This window comes from Homo sapiens, chromosome 13, assembly GCF_000001405.40.
Source record: "Homo sapiens chromosome 13, GRCh38.p14 Primary Assembly".
NCBI lineage: Eukaryota > Metazoa > Chordata > Mammalia > Primates > Hominidae > Homo > Homo sapiens.
Genome location: NC_000013.11, coordinates 48,677,205 through 48,695,159, shown reverse-complemented (window position 1 = coordinate 48,695,159; position 17,955 = coordinate 48,677,205). Strand labels below are relative to the sequence as shown.

Here is a 17,955-nt window from a genome sequence, read left to right as displayed (position 1 = left end):
AAGGCTGAAGTGAACTGTGATCACACAGTTGCACTCCAGCCTGGGTGATGGAGTGAGACTCTGACAAAAAAAAAAAAAAAAAAAAAAAAAATGCCAGGTTCTGATATACCATGGTCTTGCAAGATGTTACCATTGCGGGAAGGGGTACAAGAGATTTTTCTATTTTTTTTTTACATGTGCATGGGAATTTTTAATTATCTCCAAATGGAGGGGAAAAAAAGGTGTGGCTTGAACAGAATACCCTGCAATTTTGATTGCAAAATTCCATCTACAAACTGCTCAGTGGTGCTTGTGTTTAGGAAAACACTTAGGTTTTCACTTAGGGAAGCTCCCCTTCCTCTCCATTCCCCCACAACCTACCTATGCTGTCTCTGTACACCTGAAGAGGTGATCCCCAGGAAGATGACAGAAGGCTTTCAAAAGCCTTGTTGCAATTAGTAATAAAGCCAACTTGTTCCATTACAGGAGGGTTTCTGGTGGTCTTGGGCTCTGAAGGATTGACAAAAATGGAGTTTCACAAGATTCTTCAAAAGTCCTTGCTGCCTTAAGCAAGTACCCTTGACTCAGTAATGATGCATACATGTGGGACCCTGTTCATGGCTAGGCTCTGATATTTTGTTGAGAACTGTCAGCAATGTGTTTATTTTGTTTTCCTAGGAATAGATCCTTGGAGTCTTTCTAGTCTGTAAAACTTATTGCAAATCTAGTCAGTTGGAAATATTGTTTTCTAGCCTCTAACATCTGTTCTATGATCTGTCTATTGTCCTAAGTGTTGTTTGTCTATACAAGGAAAAGTCCATAAGGAAAGGACAAGCCAAGTCCCCATAAGTCTGTCCTCTGGCTCCAGGGACTGAGAATTCAGGACTGACATGCTTTAGACAAACTTTGGCCTTTGGATAAACTTTGCGTCAGGTCACCATTTCAATACTTGTAAGGACTTCCTCTGTCTTATCTTTGTGAGCTTGAGAACTACTGTTTTTTTCGTTTCTCAGCCCTCATTGTAGACAATTGACCTTTGCCCAAATTCTGGAGACTCAAGATCGGAGAATCAAGGTCAGACAAGTGCCACCCTTACAGACCATTGCATCTCTGATGGGCTCCACTCAACCTAAAACTGCACTTCTTCCAGGCCAGATACCTGTTTCTTTGAGATTTCTGCAATGTAACACAAACGTGCATGTTTATCTCTACAGTGGGCACAGTTTCACCAAGGACAATCTGGAATTGCAATGGCCACCTTGAGGAACTTTTAATATAAACACGATGGTTTACTTTAGAGGCACTTTATAAAAGTGAAGAAACCTTCAAGAGGAGATTGTTCTGTTTGTCTAACAGTGATTCTTTTGTTTAAAGTTGGTGATAGCCCCTCCTTTTATTTCCATACTTTAGGAATTAGTAAGTGCTAGTTAATTGATAAAATCGCCAGGGGCTTAAACCAATTTTAATGTCACTCTTTTTATATTCCAAAATCTATTCTTTTACATATAAACCTTCCTCCCTCTCTTTTCAGAGGGAACATCATTAGCCTTTTTTTTTTTGGTGTTGATTTATTATTCACCTGCAGCGGGCTCCCTTTTCTTTCTTTTTTTCCCTCTATTCCCCCTCCTCTCTTTCTCTCTTTTCCCCTGTCTTCAGAAATTAATCGTTACCTTATCAAATGACCCATTCACTTTTTGTGTGCACATTCAAGGGATATCTAGTTCAGACAAGTAGTCAAAATGTCTGAAAAAAAGGGGAAAAAATGTTATTAAACTGTGTTTCTTTCTGTGGGCACAAACAGTATATTTACATAGTAGCCTTTATTATAATTAAGAGAAAAGAAAAGGCATTATATATAAGTTAAAAGATTACATGTTTGGCATGATTCAGAGTCTTCAAAAAATTACTTTAATACAAAAACTAGTGACAGCCCAATCTTTTGGTTTCTATAAGGCCAAAGTTAAATTTTTTTTTGTTAAACTGAATTTTCTACATTAGTTGTATGAGTTCAACAAGATTCCACTAGTTCTATAACTTGTCTAAATTTAGAATTTTATTTTAATATATATAAAATTGTATTAAACTAAAGTGAATGATAATAATAAATGCCTTTATAATTTTTATAAAATTCTTACAATGCTACAAATTATAAGTTTCATTTGTTAACTAAAATTGTAATTTCCTGATCCTTAACTAACTTTAAGGACTTAGACAATGGTTAATTGATAATAATCCTTTGGATGCCTACACAATTTCTAAATAAACATAAAAACACTGATCATTAAATACAATTATGTTTATTTCTTAAAATGACAATAGATTAACAAAACATGCAAATTCCTTTGAATGACATCATATATTTATATATTGAAACTGTTTAAATTGTATGAAATAAATGCTAGTAGACCAAAAAATATCTAAGTAAATCATGTTTTCTCTCCTTTTTCTTTCTTGCCTAAAGAAAAGGAAGGTTGATTACTTTGATTAAAGATGATAATTAATATAAATGTTTAATACAGAGAAACACAAATATGTATACAGAATAAATATCCTGTTGATTTCCTGTTTATTAGGAAAGTTGAAACCATTTATTCAGAGGGTAAATTTTATTTTGACATACATATTATTTTATCTAATAGATTTAATTTTAAAGCTACAGTTAAAATGTAAAATTTGAAATGTATTTTCTATTTGTATATTTACATATCTGTGTATGCCTAAATGCATACATGTAAAGCCATATTAATAAATTCTGTACTGTAGAATGTTACATGAATGATGTACAAAAAGAGTAAAATTAGAATTGGAGTCTTTTTAATATACAAAAATTAAGTTATGCTATGCCCATATTAGTGAATATTTCTTTTGTCAATAAAATATTCTGTTAACTTTCAGTGCTTTTGACACTTTTACATCATTTTTAAAAGACTCCTTGCTTTAATAAAATGTTGTTTCTAGTGACTATTGTTAATTGCTAACACATAGCAATTTTTTTACAATGTCATCTATAATTATTTCTGGACCCTAGATACTTATGACTTACATCTTGTCTCCTGGAACAACTATTCTTGATTCTTTCCAAAATTCAGGACCCAAATTCAGAATAATCAAGCTATTAATATGTCTTTTGTGTCTAAACTATCTTTGGGTTTACTGTAATGGCTATTAGGTAACACAAGATTTGTTTTGTCATCTATGAAAGGAAAGACAATGGGAATAATTAGATTTTCCAATATCCTTTGAATTTAAATTAATTTAAAATTATTATGAGAGCTCTTTTATTTACCAAACTTACTAATAAAAAGCTGATAAAAATATTTTTATTTTTCTGTTAATTATATTTAAGTAAAATATGCTAATATAAATATCTTTCAAGGATTAAACCCTTTTTTGAGTTAAAAAAAGAATGCTCATGTTTAAGCACAAAGATTACTGTAATAACTGTGTATCAAAATATCTTTTTCCAAGATTCTCGATTAGCAACCCCACTTTTCTTTTTTGTCATGAGAAGTCTGAACAAACACTAGGGGCTTTGACTCAATGACATGGGACTCATCAAAAAATCTATTGTTTATTTCAGTCTTTCATTAGCTCTAGTAGTCACAGCATAGTTGTCTTGTCTAAGAGTTCTAGAAGCTGCAGCAAAGCTTGTGGAAGCTGGAGTGACTTTGTCAAACTAGTTCTGGGGTCTACACTAAACCTAATAATTCCCCTGATGTTTTATTGATAGACGTAACTCAAAATTTTTCAGCTAGTCACTTAATCTCCTAGGAAATATTGTTGGTTTCCCTTCAAATATCACCATTCATCACTGTAACACCCTAAACCCAGTGACCCTCTTTCCTTCATCTGTAGAAAAAGAAGCTGATGATTGATTACCTCTGTTGAGGAACTCTCCATACCTTGCATGGACCTTCTATAGACTCCCTTGGATATCCATAATTTAACTTTGCTTGTTGTTGGTTCAGACTGAAAAAACAAACAAACGAACAAAAAGTAAAATTTGCCTAGTAGGATATGCTATCACTGACTTTGTGATAGCAAGTCTAGGTAAAGCTTATATTTCAAAAGTAATATAAGCTTTACCTAGATATAAAATAAGTTCAGATGGCAAAATAAATTGCCCTCATCCAGACCTGCAAGCTGACAAAAGAAAAAAAGAATACTTATACACTGATATAGGCATTTGATTTGGGATTAGTCCTGAATTCCAAATGCATTGCAAAAGAGGAGGTCTCCAATAACAAGTTCTTAAATTGAGGCAGTAATTAATAGCCTACCAACCAAAAAAAGCCCAGGAGCAGATGGATTCACAGCCGATATCTACCAGAGGTACAAAGAAGAGCTGGTACCATTCCTTCTGAATCTATTCCAAACAATAGAAAAAGAGGGACTCCTCCCTAACTCATTTTATGAGGCCAGTATCATCCTGATACCAAAACCTGACAGAGACACAACAAAAAAAGAAAATTTCAGGCCAATTTCCCTGATGAACATCAATGTAAAAATCCTCAATAAAATAGTGGCAAACTGAATCCAGCAGCACATCAAAAAGCTTATACATTACGATCCAGTTGGCTTCAGCCCTGGCATGCAAGACTGGTTCAACATATGCAAATCAATAAACGTAATCCATCACAGAAACAGAACCAATAACAAAAACCACATGAATATCTTAATAGATGCAGAAAAGGCCTTTGATATAATTCAACACCCCTTTATGCTAAAAACTCTCAATAAACTAGATATTGATGAAACATAATCTCAAAATAATAAGAGCTATTTATGACAAACCCACAGCCAATATCATACTGAATGGGCAAAAGCTGGGAGCACTCCCTTTGAAAATACACATAAGACAAGGATGCCCTCTCTCACCACTCCTATTCAACATAGTATTGGACGTTCTGGCCAGGACAATCAGGCAAGAGAAAGAAATAAAGGGTATCCAAATAGGAAGAGAGGAAGTCAAATTGTCTGTGTTTGCAGATGACATGACTGTATATTTACAAAACCCCATCATCTCAGCCCAAAAACTCCTTCAGCAAAGCAAATTCAGCAAAGTCTCAGGATACAAAATCAATGTGCAAAAATTACAAGCATTCCTATACACCAATAATAAACAAGCAGAGAGCTAAATCATGAGTGAACTCCCAGTCACAATTGCTACAAAGAGAATAAAATACCTAGGAATAAAACTTATAAGGGATGTGAAGGACCTCCTCAAGGAGAACTACAAACCACTGCTCAAGGAAATAAGAGAGGACACAAACAAATGGAAAAACATTCCATGCTCATGGATAGGAAGAATCAGTATCATGAAAATGGCCATACTGCCCAAAGTAATTTACACATTCAGTGCTATGCCCATCAAGCTACTATTGAGTTTCTTTGCAGAATTAGAAAAAAAACTACTTTAAATTTCATATGGAACCAAAAAAGAGCCCATATAGCCAAGACAATCCTAAGCAAAAAGAACAAAGCTGGAGGCATCATGCTACCTAACTTCAAACTATACTACAAAGCTACAGTAACCAAAACAGAGTGGTACTGGCACAAAAACAGATATATAGACCAATGGAACAGAACAGAGGCCTCAGAAATAACACCACACATCTACAACCATCTGATCTTTGACAACTTGACAAAAACAAGCAATGGGGAAAGAATTCCCTACTTAATAAATGGTGTTGGAAAAACTGGCTAGCCATATACAGAAAACTGAACCTGGACTCCTTCCTTACACATTAAACAAAAATTAACTCAAGATGGATTAAAGACTTAAATGTAAAATCTAAAATCATAAAAACCCTAGAAGAAAACCTAGGCAATACATTCAGGACACAGGCATGGACAAAGACTTCATGACTGAAACACCAAAGCAAGAGCAACGAAAGCCAAAATGACAAATGGGATCTAATTAAACTAAAGAGCTTCTGCACAGCAAAAGCAACTATCATCAGAGTGAACAGGCAACCTACAGAATGGGAGAAAATTTTTGCAATTTATCCATCTGACAAAGGGCTAATATCCAGAATCTACAAGGAACTTAAACAAATTTACGAGAATAAACAAACAACCCCATCAAAAGTGGGCAAAGGATATGAACAGACACTTCTCAAAAGAAGACATTTATGCGGCCAACAAACATATGAAGAAAAGCTCATCATCACTGGTCATTAGAAACATGCAAATCAAAACCACATTGAGGTACCATCTCATGCCAGTTAGAATGGTGATCATTAAAAAGTCAGGAAGCAACAGATGCTGGAGAGGATGTGGAGAAATAGGAATGCTTTTACACTGTTGGTGGGAGTGTAAATTAGTTTAGCCATTGTGGAAGGCAGTGCGGCGATTCCTCAAGGATTTAGAACCAGAAATACCTTTTGACCCAGCCATCCCATTACTGGGTATACACCCAAAGGATTATAAGTCATTGTACTATAAAGACACATTCACAAGTATGTTTATTGAAGCACTACTCAAAATAGCAAAGACTTGGAACCAACCCAAATGTCCATCAATGATAGACTAGATAAAGAAAATGTGGCACATATACGCCATGGAATACTATGCAGCCATAAGAAAGGATGAGTTCACGACATTTGCAGGGATGTGGATGAAGCTGGAAACCATCATTCTCAGCAAACTAACACAGGAACAGAAAAGCAAACACCACATCTTCTCACTCATAAGTGGGAGTTGAATAATGAGAACACACGGACACAGGGAGGGGAACATCACACATCAGGGCCTATTGGCCAGTGGGTGGCTAGAGGACGGATAGCCTTAGGAGAAATACCTAATGTAGATGACAGGTTGATGGGTGCAGCAAACCACCATGGCCTTTGCATACCTATGTAACAAACCTGCACATGTAGCCCATAACTTAAAAGTATAATTAAAAAAAAAGAAGAAGAGGTATCTTGACACTACAAGAACCCCTATAAAAAAGACGAAATCTCAGATACTTGGGAAGCTGAGGCAGGAGGATTGCTTGAACCCAGGAAGTTGAGGCTACTGTTAGCCATGATTGCACCATTGCACTCCAGAAAAATACATCTGCTGAGGTCCTCACAAGCCTATCAGCAAACTCTGATCCTTGAGGAGTGAGAACAAAGATTGGGCCTATCCTGGGTAAGAACAGTTACTTCAGAGACACTCCAGCCTGCTTAGCAGGACTTGTTTGACTTCACTGAAGGGATTTTCCCACCTCTAGTGACACACCCCCACAACCACGACCAAATAAAGAAAAAGGCAAATTCCTGTTGTAATTAACAATTTTTAAATTGCCAATATTAATACAGTTTCTGCTTCATCAGGACAGTCCTTCTTATGTGGACATAAGGCTTACGGCCACCTGCCACACACTAACTTTACTGTATATTCAGGAAAATTGTTAGAGAATTTCAGTTGTTTAAAACTACCACCCCTCCAGTGGATCATGTTTCCCTAAAAAGAATGCAAAGAAATCTCCAAAAAAGTCAAGCACAGGCTACTTGAGAGAACTCTTCAGATGGAGGGCTGCATTCTTGTGTTGCATACTATGTGTTTTAGTTAGGGTTCTCCAGACAGACAGAACCAATAGGATATTATAGAATTATAGATGATAGATAGATGATAGATAATTGATAGATGATAGATAATTGATAGATAATAGATGATTGATAGATGATAGATTATAGATAATTGATAGATGATAAATATTTGATAGATGATGGATAATTGATAGATGATAATCGATAGATAATACATAGATGATTGATAGATGATAATCTACCAATTATCATCTATCAATCATCTACATAATAAGTAGATAGATGATAATAGATAGATAGATAGATAGATGAGAGGAGATTTATTAGGGGAATTGGCTCACACAGTTATGGAGGCTGAGAAGTCCCACAACAGGCCGTCGGCAAGATAGAGACCCTGGAATGCTAACAGTGTGGCTCAGTCCCTGTTTGATGGCCTCAGAACCAGGTGTAATTCTCAGGCTGAGTTTGAAGGCCTGAGAACCCGGGGGCCCACTGGTGAAAGCCCTAGAGTCCTAAGGCCAGAGAGCCTGGAGTTCTAATGTCAAAGGGCAGAAGGAGAAGAATGTCCCAGCTCCAGGAGCAAGAGAGCAAATCCCTTTTTCTTATTTTTTGCTCTATTCTGGCCCCAAGCCAATTAGACAGTGCCCATCCATTGAGAGCAGAAGTTCCCCACACAGTCCACTGATTTACACAATAATCTCCTCTGGAAACACCCTCACAGACATACGCAGAAGTCATGCTTTACAAGTTCTCCAGGTATTCCTTAATCCAGTCAAGTTGACTTGACTATGCAAGCAATGACTATTACAGCTGGAAAGTATCATCTAAAACTTGTCTCTGAGCCTGAAAAAAGTCATAAATTATACTACTTCTGTTCTGGAAGCCTAGGTTTACACTTAAATTTGTAAGGCAAAGTTGTCACGGATAATAACATAGCCTTAAATCTCTTCTTAGCTAGCCAAAGAGAAATTTGTGCTAACCACTTCTTGCTGCACCTGTATAAATACTACGGAGCAGCCCATGACTGTGGGAGGAAAGCCCATTGGACATCTAGAAAAGAACACACAGATTTTGCGGGACATATTTTCATTGCTTGGGTATGATAATCTGGGTCCCTGTTTTCAGAGTCTATTAGAAGAACTAAAAACCACTTTTGCTTCTGCAAAGTCCTGCTTCCTGGAATCTTATCCTCAAATTACCTAACATGAGCACAAATCTTATAATATATGTAATTCCTGACTAACACCCTTTCCTGAGACACTGCAATTTCCAATGGTGTGCAAGAAGTCCATGAATCCAATTCTGTTAACTACAGCCATGTCTCTAATGGCCTTTGACTAGAAGACTTTGACCCTGAGAATCCATATAATGATCTAAAGAATAAAAGAGGTATGGTAAAGCAGTAGTTAATTTAACCTACCCCAAAAGGTGGTTTGTCAACATATTTCTGATGCAGCAAGAATATTTTTCAATTCTTCTTTAGAAATCTATGTGAAGATAATACTCAAAAAACATGGTTGGCATGTAAATGATGTCAAAAAAAAGAAAAGAGTTATTAATCCTTCAAGTTAGCACTTCCCACAGTATCTTCCACTAAACACGAATCCATGAGATGTTCTGTAAAAGAAAAGTTTTCTTGGTCAAATTAACCTGAGAAACATGGCAAGCTCTAATACGCCCCTCTTGGAGAGTCACAGTACATTTTGAAGTTTCTATGAGGTCCTACAGAAAACAAACAAACAAAAAGCCTGATATACACAGAATTTCCCTCTCTTTTTTTAACCTTGAAAACTTTTTTTGCATGCTAACACAGTCTAACATCTCACAGAACTAATGTTCTGCATAATCAGACTTGGGGGAATGATGATGTTGTTATGTAATTTATCTAGAAGATGTCATTTATCTAGAATATAATGTTAACAGAAGAGAAAGGGAACTATCACCTAATAGGCTAGATCAACCAGCAAGGGAGTAAAGGAACATGAGTTCAAGAGTTTGCAGTCAGGGAGCTCTAAGAAATTGCAACTGGGTACATCAGCATTTCCAAGCATACCTTACTTCATTTGGAAAATGGAGGTTGTACTAGTTTCCTAGGGCTATCTTAACAAAGTATCACAAACAGGGTAGCTTAAAACAACAGAAATTTATTCTCTGACAGTTCTGGAGGCCAGAAGTCTGTAATCAAGGTGTCAGCAGGGGATATGGTTTGGATCTGTGTTCACCCAAATCTTATGTTCAATTGTAATCTCCAGTGTTGGAGGTGGGGCCTGGTGGGAGGTGATTGAATCATGGGAACAATTTCACGTGATTGGTTTAGCACCGTCCCCTCGGTGCTGTTCTCATGATAGTGAGTGAGTTCTCGTGAGTGAGTTCTCGTGAGTGTTTAAAAGTGTATAGCACCTCCCCCTTCTCTCTTCCTCCTGCTCCTGCCATGTAAGACAACTGCTCCTGCTTCACCTTCCACCATGAGTAAAAGCTCCCCGAGGCCTCCCCAGAAGCAGATGCCGCCATGCTTCCTGTACAGCCTATGGAACCATGAGCCAATTAAACCTCTTTTATTTATAAATTACCCAGTCTCAGGTATTTCTTTATAGCAGTGTGAGAATGGACTAATACAGCAGGGCTGTGCTTCCTTCGAAGGCTCTGGGGAAGAATCCCTCCTTGTCTCTTCTAGCTTCAGGTATTTACCAGCAATCCTTGGCACTTCTTGCCTTACAGAATGTGACTCCAATCTCTTGACTCTGTCATTATTGGCATTTTCCTTCTGTCTCTTCACATTGTCTTTTCTCTGTGTTTCTGTGTCTTCTCCTTTTCTTATAAGGACACTAGTCATATTGGGCTTAGGGTCCACCATATCCAGTATGACTTCTTCTTAACATTACATCTGCAAAGAACTTATTTCCAAATAAGGCCACTTTCACAGGTACCTGGGGTTAGGACTTGGACATATTGTTTGGGGGTACATAACTCAACCACAACAAGGATACGTAACATCTATTTCATAGAGTTGTTGTATTATATGAGAGGTTGAGACACTGTGTGTGCTTCACAGGGTACTTGGCACTAAGTGCTCCCTCATTGTTCCAGCTTTGTGAATGAATGTAGGGATGATCTAACTTCAACACCTGTCATCCCATTAGCTACCAAGGATGAGCTGATGACATAAACTCTCACATTCACATAAGGTATAAAAAGTAAACTCCTCTTGATGCTTGCTAGAAAGACATCAAGAGGAGTTTACTTTTTATACCTTATGGGAATGTGAGAGTTGATGCCATCTCTCTATAGAAACATGGATTACTCTGATTACTCTGACATGTTCATAATGAGAATCTCTCAAGATTACCCCACTCCTTTACTCAAAGCCTATTTCTTCCATGGAACCCCTGATAACTCATCCAGTCAGTGAAGTTTCTCTGGAAGAGGGACTATGGACCTGTCATCCCAGCATTTTGGGAGGCCAAGGTGGGAGGATCACTTGAGGCTCAGAGTTCAAGATCAGCCTGGCCAACATAGTGAGACCCCCCCCGATCTCTACAAAAAGTAATTTAAAAAAATTAGCCAGGTATGGTGGTGTGCACCTATAGTCCTGGCTACTCAGGAGGCTGAGGCAAGAGGATTGCTTGAGCCCAGGAGTTTGAGGTGGCAATGAGGTATGCTCATGCCACTATACTTCAGTCTGGATGACAGAGTGAGACTGTCTGTAAAATAATTTTTTTAAAAAGTGACTATGGATTATGAACTGGAAGAATGCAATAAAAGGAAAGTTGAATACCCCATTATAATCCTCTAAATTTACAAAACAGAATTCTGGGTTAAAAATTAGTTCCCTGTCTGGCAAAGATTTCATGATGAAAATGCCAAAAGCAATTGCAACAAAAGCAAAAATTGATAAATAGGATGTAATTAAACTTAAAAGCTTCTGCACAGCAAAAGAAACTATCAACAGAGTAAACAGACAACCTACAGAATAGGAGAAAATTTTTGCAAGCTATGCATCTGACAAAGGTCTAATATCCAGCATCTATAAAGAACTTAAACCAACCTATAAGAAAAAAAAACTCCGTTAAAAAGTAGACAAAGGACACGAACAGAAACTTTTCAAAAGAAGACATATTATTCATGTGGCCAATAAACATATGAAAAAAAAGCTCAATATCACTGATCATTAGATAAATGCAAATCAAAAACACAAATGAGATAACATTTCACACCAGTCAGAATGGCTATTATTAAAAAGTCAAAGAAAAACAGATGCTGGCAAGGTTGCAGAGAAAAGAAAATGCTTATACACTGTTTGTGAGAGTGTAAATTTGTTCAGACATTGTGGAAAGCTGTCTGAGGATTCTTCAGAGAGCTAAAAACAGAACTACCATTTGACCCAGCAATTCCACTACTGGGTATATACCCAAAGGAATATAAATCATTTTATCATAAAGACACATGCACCCATATGTTCATTGCAGCACTATTCACAATAGCAAAGACATGGAATCAACCTAAATGCCCATCAATGGTAGACTGGATAAAGAAAATATGGTACATATACACCATGGAATACTATGTAACCATAAAAAAGAATGAGATCGTGTCCTTTGCAGGAACACGGATGGAGCTGGGGGCCATTATCCTTAGCAAACTTACATAGGAAGAGAAAACCAAATACCACAAGTTCTCACTTATAAGTGGGAGCTAAATTATGAGAACAGATGGACACAAAGAGAAGAACAACAGACACTGGCATCTACTTGAGGGTGGATGGTGGGAGAAGGGAGAGAATCAGAAAAAATAGTTATTGGGTACTAAGCTTAGTACTTGACTGACAAAATACTCTATACAAGAAATCCCTGTGACACGAATTTACCTATATAACAAACCTGCACATGTACCCCTGAATCTACAATAAAAGGTAAAAAAAATTAGTTCCCTATTAGTTCTGTGGGTGTAGTTCCCTATGAGTTCTATGGGTGTAAGTTGATTTCTTAAGAACTGATATGATGAAATTTCTCATGTGCAGAGCTAAGCATCCAAACCTATTTCTGAGTTGACTGCTGGGGCCTTAGTTCTGATTACATGGATAATGGCTCTCTCGTTTTGATGGATCTCAACAGCAAATCTGAGGTTCCTAGCTTAGATTGTAAGGTGAATTGTGAGGCCATTAGCTGGAATGGGGAGCACATACTTTAGAACTAAGGAGACAGGTCAGGGTGGCAGATATAATTCAGGGAAATAGTCATATAGAGGCTGGAACTCTGTGAGCCTGACTCAGGAAAGCGAATACAACAAAATTAGAAGCTTGGAGAGAGTGTCTTAACTCAATCTTACAGTGAATTATACTTTCTATCAGTTGGCAGGGCCAGGACAGCAGGACTAAATGCACAATCAGAAGGTACTCCAATGGAATACTAGAGGTGGTACAGGCAGCTTGCACAAGCCAGGTCAATAAAGCAAATGTGGAGAGGGATTAATGTCACAATTATGTGTCAGCTCTGGATGGGCAGGGCACTAGAACCAGCGTTAACACACAGAGCCTAGGGCACAAGGAGACAAGGCATGAGAACTAAGGCTGATATGGAATCAGTCAGAGGAATTTTTACATAAAGGTTTCATTACAAATGGCCTTTTATTGAAAAGGACAGTCTTGCCCTTTTCACATGGCCATATAGAACCTACTTTAGTCTTAAAGAACCTAACTTTAAAGCCAAGATTCTGTTAGAATCTTAGGGAAAGCTTACAGTTTAAGAAGTTAGAGAAGGGGCCGAAAAAGTAGAAATAGATTTGAAAGCAATCAAGTCCTTAACTTTTTGACCATGAAGACCACCGCTTGTTCCATCTCAAGATCAACAGGGCTGTGAATTGCAGGGAGAGGGCAGCTCGAGAGAGGCAGGACCAAGCCCTGGACTCCTCCCTTGCTGGGATGTAGCAGGCCCTCAGGGACACTGTCAGTTACAGATGCTGGGGTAAGTTCCTTGTCAAAGGTAGGGCATGAAATCCGGCAGGCATGACCACAGACAAGAGATCACCAAAAACAATAGTAATAGGTGGTCCACCATGGATTTGAGGGGAGCAGGTAGACCAAAAACAGACCCCAGCAATAAGGACCTCTTAAGCAACTGGGGAGGAAGGCAGACCTCATTGGGGAAGTCCATCTGTAAGAAGCAAGGCACTTACTACCAGGCCACAGTGCAAGGAGAAAACTTTAGACTTAGGAGGAGGTATGACTAGTGCAGGTGGGCTGTGAGTCCCGAATTCTGAATTAGACAAAGCCTTGAGCGCAGAGACTCAGACCAAGAACGCCAAGACAAGGGTCCGTTTCCCCTAATGAACTGGGAACAACATCTCAGGAACAAAAGAGAAGTTTAATGTTAGAATTGAGGCACAAGATCAAGATCAGAGCAACGCCAAGGGCAACACTGAGTTCTAGAATTGTTTCAGTTCCTCTGCTTGAGGTTGGGGTTGGTTTTAGGTTGGGGTTGGTTTTAGGCCCCACAGGGGGCTACATGGGAATGGGAAATGGGAGTGATAGATGGTTGTCAAGCAGCCACAGTTGTAGGGAGAGTATAATCACAGAAGCCAGAGGCATTGATACTGAGAGCATCTTATTCCCCAGAAAGCTAAAGGAAAAAAATATATATACAAACATCCTTCCTAGAAACCTCATATAGCTAAAGGCTACCAGCAAAAAGCAGGGCCAGCCCACATTCAAAATTCCATTTAGTTCGACACTTTCTCTTGAGAAACCTTTAAAATATTTTGATTGTGCATTCCTGCCAATATAAAATACATTTGACTACACCACACTGCAACATTTCACTAGACTGCAAAAAAAAAAAAAAAAAAAAGAAAAGAAAAGAAAAGAAAGAAAGAAAAGAAAATCGTCTGCTAGATGTGACTATAAAAATTAGCCAGACCAATGAAGTATGCGACAGGAAGCTGAGAAATATATGAAGACGCAAATTCAAGGGAAACTGGGAAATTATTTGGCAGCATAATTTCCACGGCCTTAATGGGAGAGGAGTGAGCATGTGCACAGCTTACTGTACTGAAAGGGGATTCAGAACAAATACAGAATGAAGACTTCATCTCCTGCAGCTTTGCTGGTAATTAAACAACAAAGAAGGGACAGGGAGCAGCAGCAGCAGATGGAGATTCCATATTTGAGTTAGGAAGAAAACGAAACATGCTGCGTGACCAGTTAAAGTCTGATGAGGGTGAATAGCTTACGTCGATGCTTAGAATGTTGTCACAGTGATAGCAAAGCTGCAACTGTTCCTGATTTCACAGATGCTATTTTTATTTATACTTAGAAAAATACATCTTTTGATAGATTCTCACGGGATCATTAGACATTGGCACAGACTCCTCCCCCACTAACCCCTCTCCGTCAACACTGACTATGGTCAGATGGGTTTGCCCACCTTTGGTTCCCAGATTTGAATCTGTGTCCTGCCCGCAGAGTCTGAAGACACATTGACTCAAACAAATCCAGAATAGCCGCAAGCAGTGTGCAATTAGACAATGAGCTGCCCTGACCTTGTGGCAAATTGCTACAGTGCAAATAACCTGGAGAACAGAGGTTGGTGCACTTTGCATCATCTTTACAAGGAAATAATGGTAGGCTTCTGTGTAGAGCAGTCCTGAGACAGAGGGGGAAAACTGGTAGACCTGCCATGCGGAAGCCTCCCTAGTTGCTACTCAGTGACCTTCTGAGTATACTATTTGCCCACTGTCTCTGCCACCTGTAACTCCCACATTGGAAACCCTTCTGGTAAATTGGCATCGGGGTTCTTGACTTTCTGATTGCTACTCTCATGGCTCCTCACTTCAAGCCATCTGTCTTGGCCAAACCTGCCCAAGGGCTCCGGGGAAAGGCATTTCCTTTATCAGCTCCCCCAACCTCAAGCCACAGATGCTCCTTCATCCAACAAGGGGCAGCAACAGTGAGTTGTACTGCAGTTACTCTGTGCCGGGCACTCTGCTATGCTCCTTATGCTATTAACTCAATTAGTCCTCAAACAATCCTTGCTACTCTTACTTGATAACAGCTCTAGGTACTCTGATTTGATCATTTTATAGATAAGAAGACCAAAGTGCACAGGCATGGAATAGCTTGTGTGCCCAAATTCCCTTGCAAGTTAGTGGTAGGATGTGGCTTGAACCCAGTTGTCTGCTCAATCAAAACACTGCCCTGCTTCTCTGTGCCACATATACTCAGCCCTGTGTATATGACAGTGAAGAAAACATAATCTTAGACCAAAAAGAACCTCTGGGGTGATGAATGGGTCAAGCAAGTCAACAGGACAAAGCTCTATGAGGAAGAAGGGCCCACAGAAAGAAACCTCAAGAGTGCTATGAGAATGCAGGGGAGGGGCCACACCAGCCTTGGGGAATGAGGGGAGTTTTTTTAAGGTTCTGGGGGAGAGAGATTGACTAAGGAGAGAGGGACAGGGACTCTGGGCAGTGGAAAACGATTTACAAAGGCCCCAAGTTGAGAGCACATGGCAAGTTTGGGGAAGTGTAAGTAATATAGTAGAGCCTAGGTGAAGCATGCAAGGAGGATGGGTGGGCAGAGAGTGCTTCCAGAGGGGCCTTTCTCCATACCAAGGAATTGGGATTTCATCCTGAGGGCAGTGAGAGCCTCTGAAATGTGGAGAGCAGATCTGCATTTTAGAGAGGTGACACTGGCAGCAGATGAGGACAGTTTGGTGGAGGCAAGCCCAAGTACAGAGAGGTGAGTAGGGGTGCTCTTGTGATTGTGCAGAACAGAGAGGCTGCACAGACCTGGATGGGACTGAGAGCTATAAAGGAGTGAGAACTGACCAGACTGTGGATGGACTAAATATAGAGGGTCAGGGAAAAGGGAAGTCAAGGTTCCTCTCAGGTATTAGGGGAAGGAAGTGGTGCCTTTCATTAATAAAAGGAACCTATGAAGAAGATGCTGATTGGGCTGAAGAAATGGGGAGTTTAATTTGGGGCATTTTGGATTTGAGGCATTCAAGAAATAGGCAAATGGAGCTGTCCTGTTGCTCTGTATAGCTGGGGAGGAGGAACTAGGTGAACCTGATAAATGTAAGGCTGTCAGCACGTGATAGTAACTGAAGCCAGAGGAGTGGAGAGGCTCGCACAGCGGGGGTGTGAGAACAAAGGAGGATAGAACCCTGGGGAACACCAACAATTAAGGGACAGGCAGAGAGAAGAGGCTGGAATGATGATTGAGAAAGACTGGCCAAATGATACAAGGAGAGTAAAGAACACAATGCCAAGACTTGCTTTAAGGAGAAAAAGATTGCTTTAAGGAGAAGTGAGTGTTCAATGGGAATAAAAAGTAACAGGTGGACCCAGTCCGGTGGTCATGCCTGTAATTCCAGCACTTTGGGAGGCTGAGGTGGGCAGATCACTTGAGGCCAGGAGTTTGAGACCAGCCTTGCCAACATGGTGAAACCTCATCTCTACTAAAAATACAAAAATTAGCCTCTCTGTACTTGGGCTTGCCTCCACCAAACTGTCCTCATCTACTGCCAGTGTCACCTCTCTAAAATGCAGATCTCCTCTCCACATTTCAGAGGCTCTCACTGCCCTCAGGATGAAACCCCAATTCCTTGGTATGGAGAAATGTGGTGGTGCTTGCCTGTAATCCCAGATACTCAGGAGGCTGAGGCACGAGAAGAGCTTGAACCCTGAAGGCGGAGGTTGCAGCAGTGAGCCAAGATTGCGCCACTGCACTCCAGCCTGGGTGATGAAGTGAGACTCTGTCCCAAAAAAAAAAAAAAAAAATAGTACCAGGCGATTCAGTAACAGGAAAGTTATCAGTAGAGGGGTGGTGTAGAAAGCTGAAGGCAGGAAGCTAATAATAAAAAAAGAAAAGCAGCAGTTGAGACAGTGACCTCAGGAAGGAGAGAGGATGCTTTTGAGTTCTGCAGCTACTGCAAAAGGTTTGTTGCTGGAGAAAGAATTTGAGTCAGGGAGAGAGGATGTGTACTTCTCTCTGGGTCACCTTGACTCTTACTCTCAGTGCATCTTTCTCATGTAACTTTAGTTTCTTCCTCGGTTCATCTCTCCTCCTCTCTGAACATCATACACTTGAGCCATAGTATGGTAGAATGTACAGTCTACCAGAAATCCAGGAGAACGGGCTTGACTCTCAACCTTCCCACTCTGTAGCTGTGTAACCTTTGCTCTCTGAGCATCAAATGCTAGTGATTCCTCCTACCAAACTCTGTGACCAACTGAAATTCTGTACCATTTCTTCTTGTTCTTTTGCACCTAGACACCCTGAACCAGAGGACTCTGGTGTCGTTTTTTGGTCATTATCTTCTTCCTAATCTACAGCAATATGCCTTCCCTGCCCCATGCCCTCCACCTCAGAGGAGACCCTCCTTAGAATTTTACATGACTAAGATTAAGATCATTCATTCCTGCTCAGCAGCCTGTTCTACTG

The 17,955-nt window shown here is 39.5% G+C and overlaps 1 protein-coding gene across 11 annotated transcripts in view; it reads right to left on the bottom strand.

Annotated features, from left to right (window-relative positions):
• CYSLTR2 (cysteinyl leukotriene receptor 2) overlaps positions 1–17,955 on the bottom strand; it is a 57,298-nt gene that overhangs the window by 16,067 nt on the left and 23,276 nt on the right. For 2 of the 11 annotated variants that reach the window (NM_020377.5, NM_001387012.1), the window contains exons 2-3: positions 3,882–3,948; positions 1,650–1,722 (exon numbers count right to left, since the gene is read on the bottom strand). The exons of 2 other annotated variants lie outside the window; for them this stretch is intronic. The gene's annotated coding sequence lies outside the window, so the exon portion shown is untranslated. Of the gene's footprint in view, positions 1–360; positions 490–1,649; positions 1,723–3,858; positions 3,949–17,955 lie in introns of all 11 variants that reach the window. 7 more of the 11 variants (NM_001308465.3, NM_001308467.3, NM_001308476.3 and 4 more) reach the window with 7 other exon arrangements.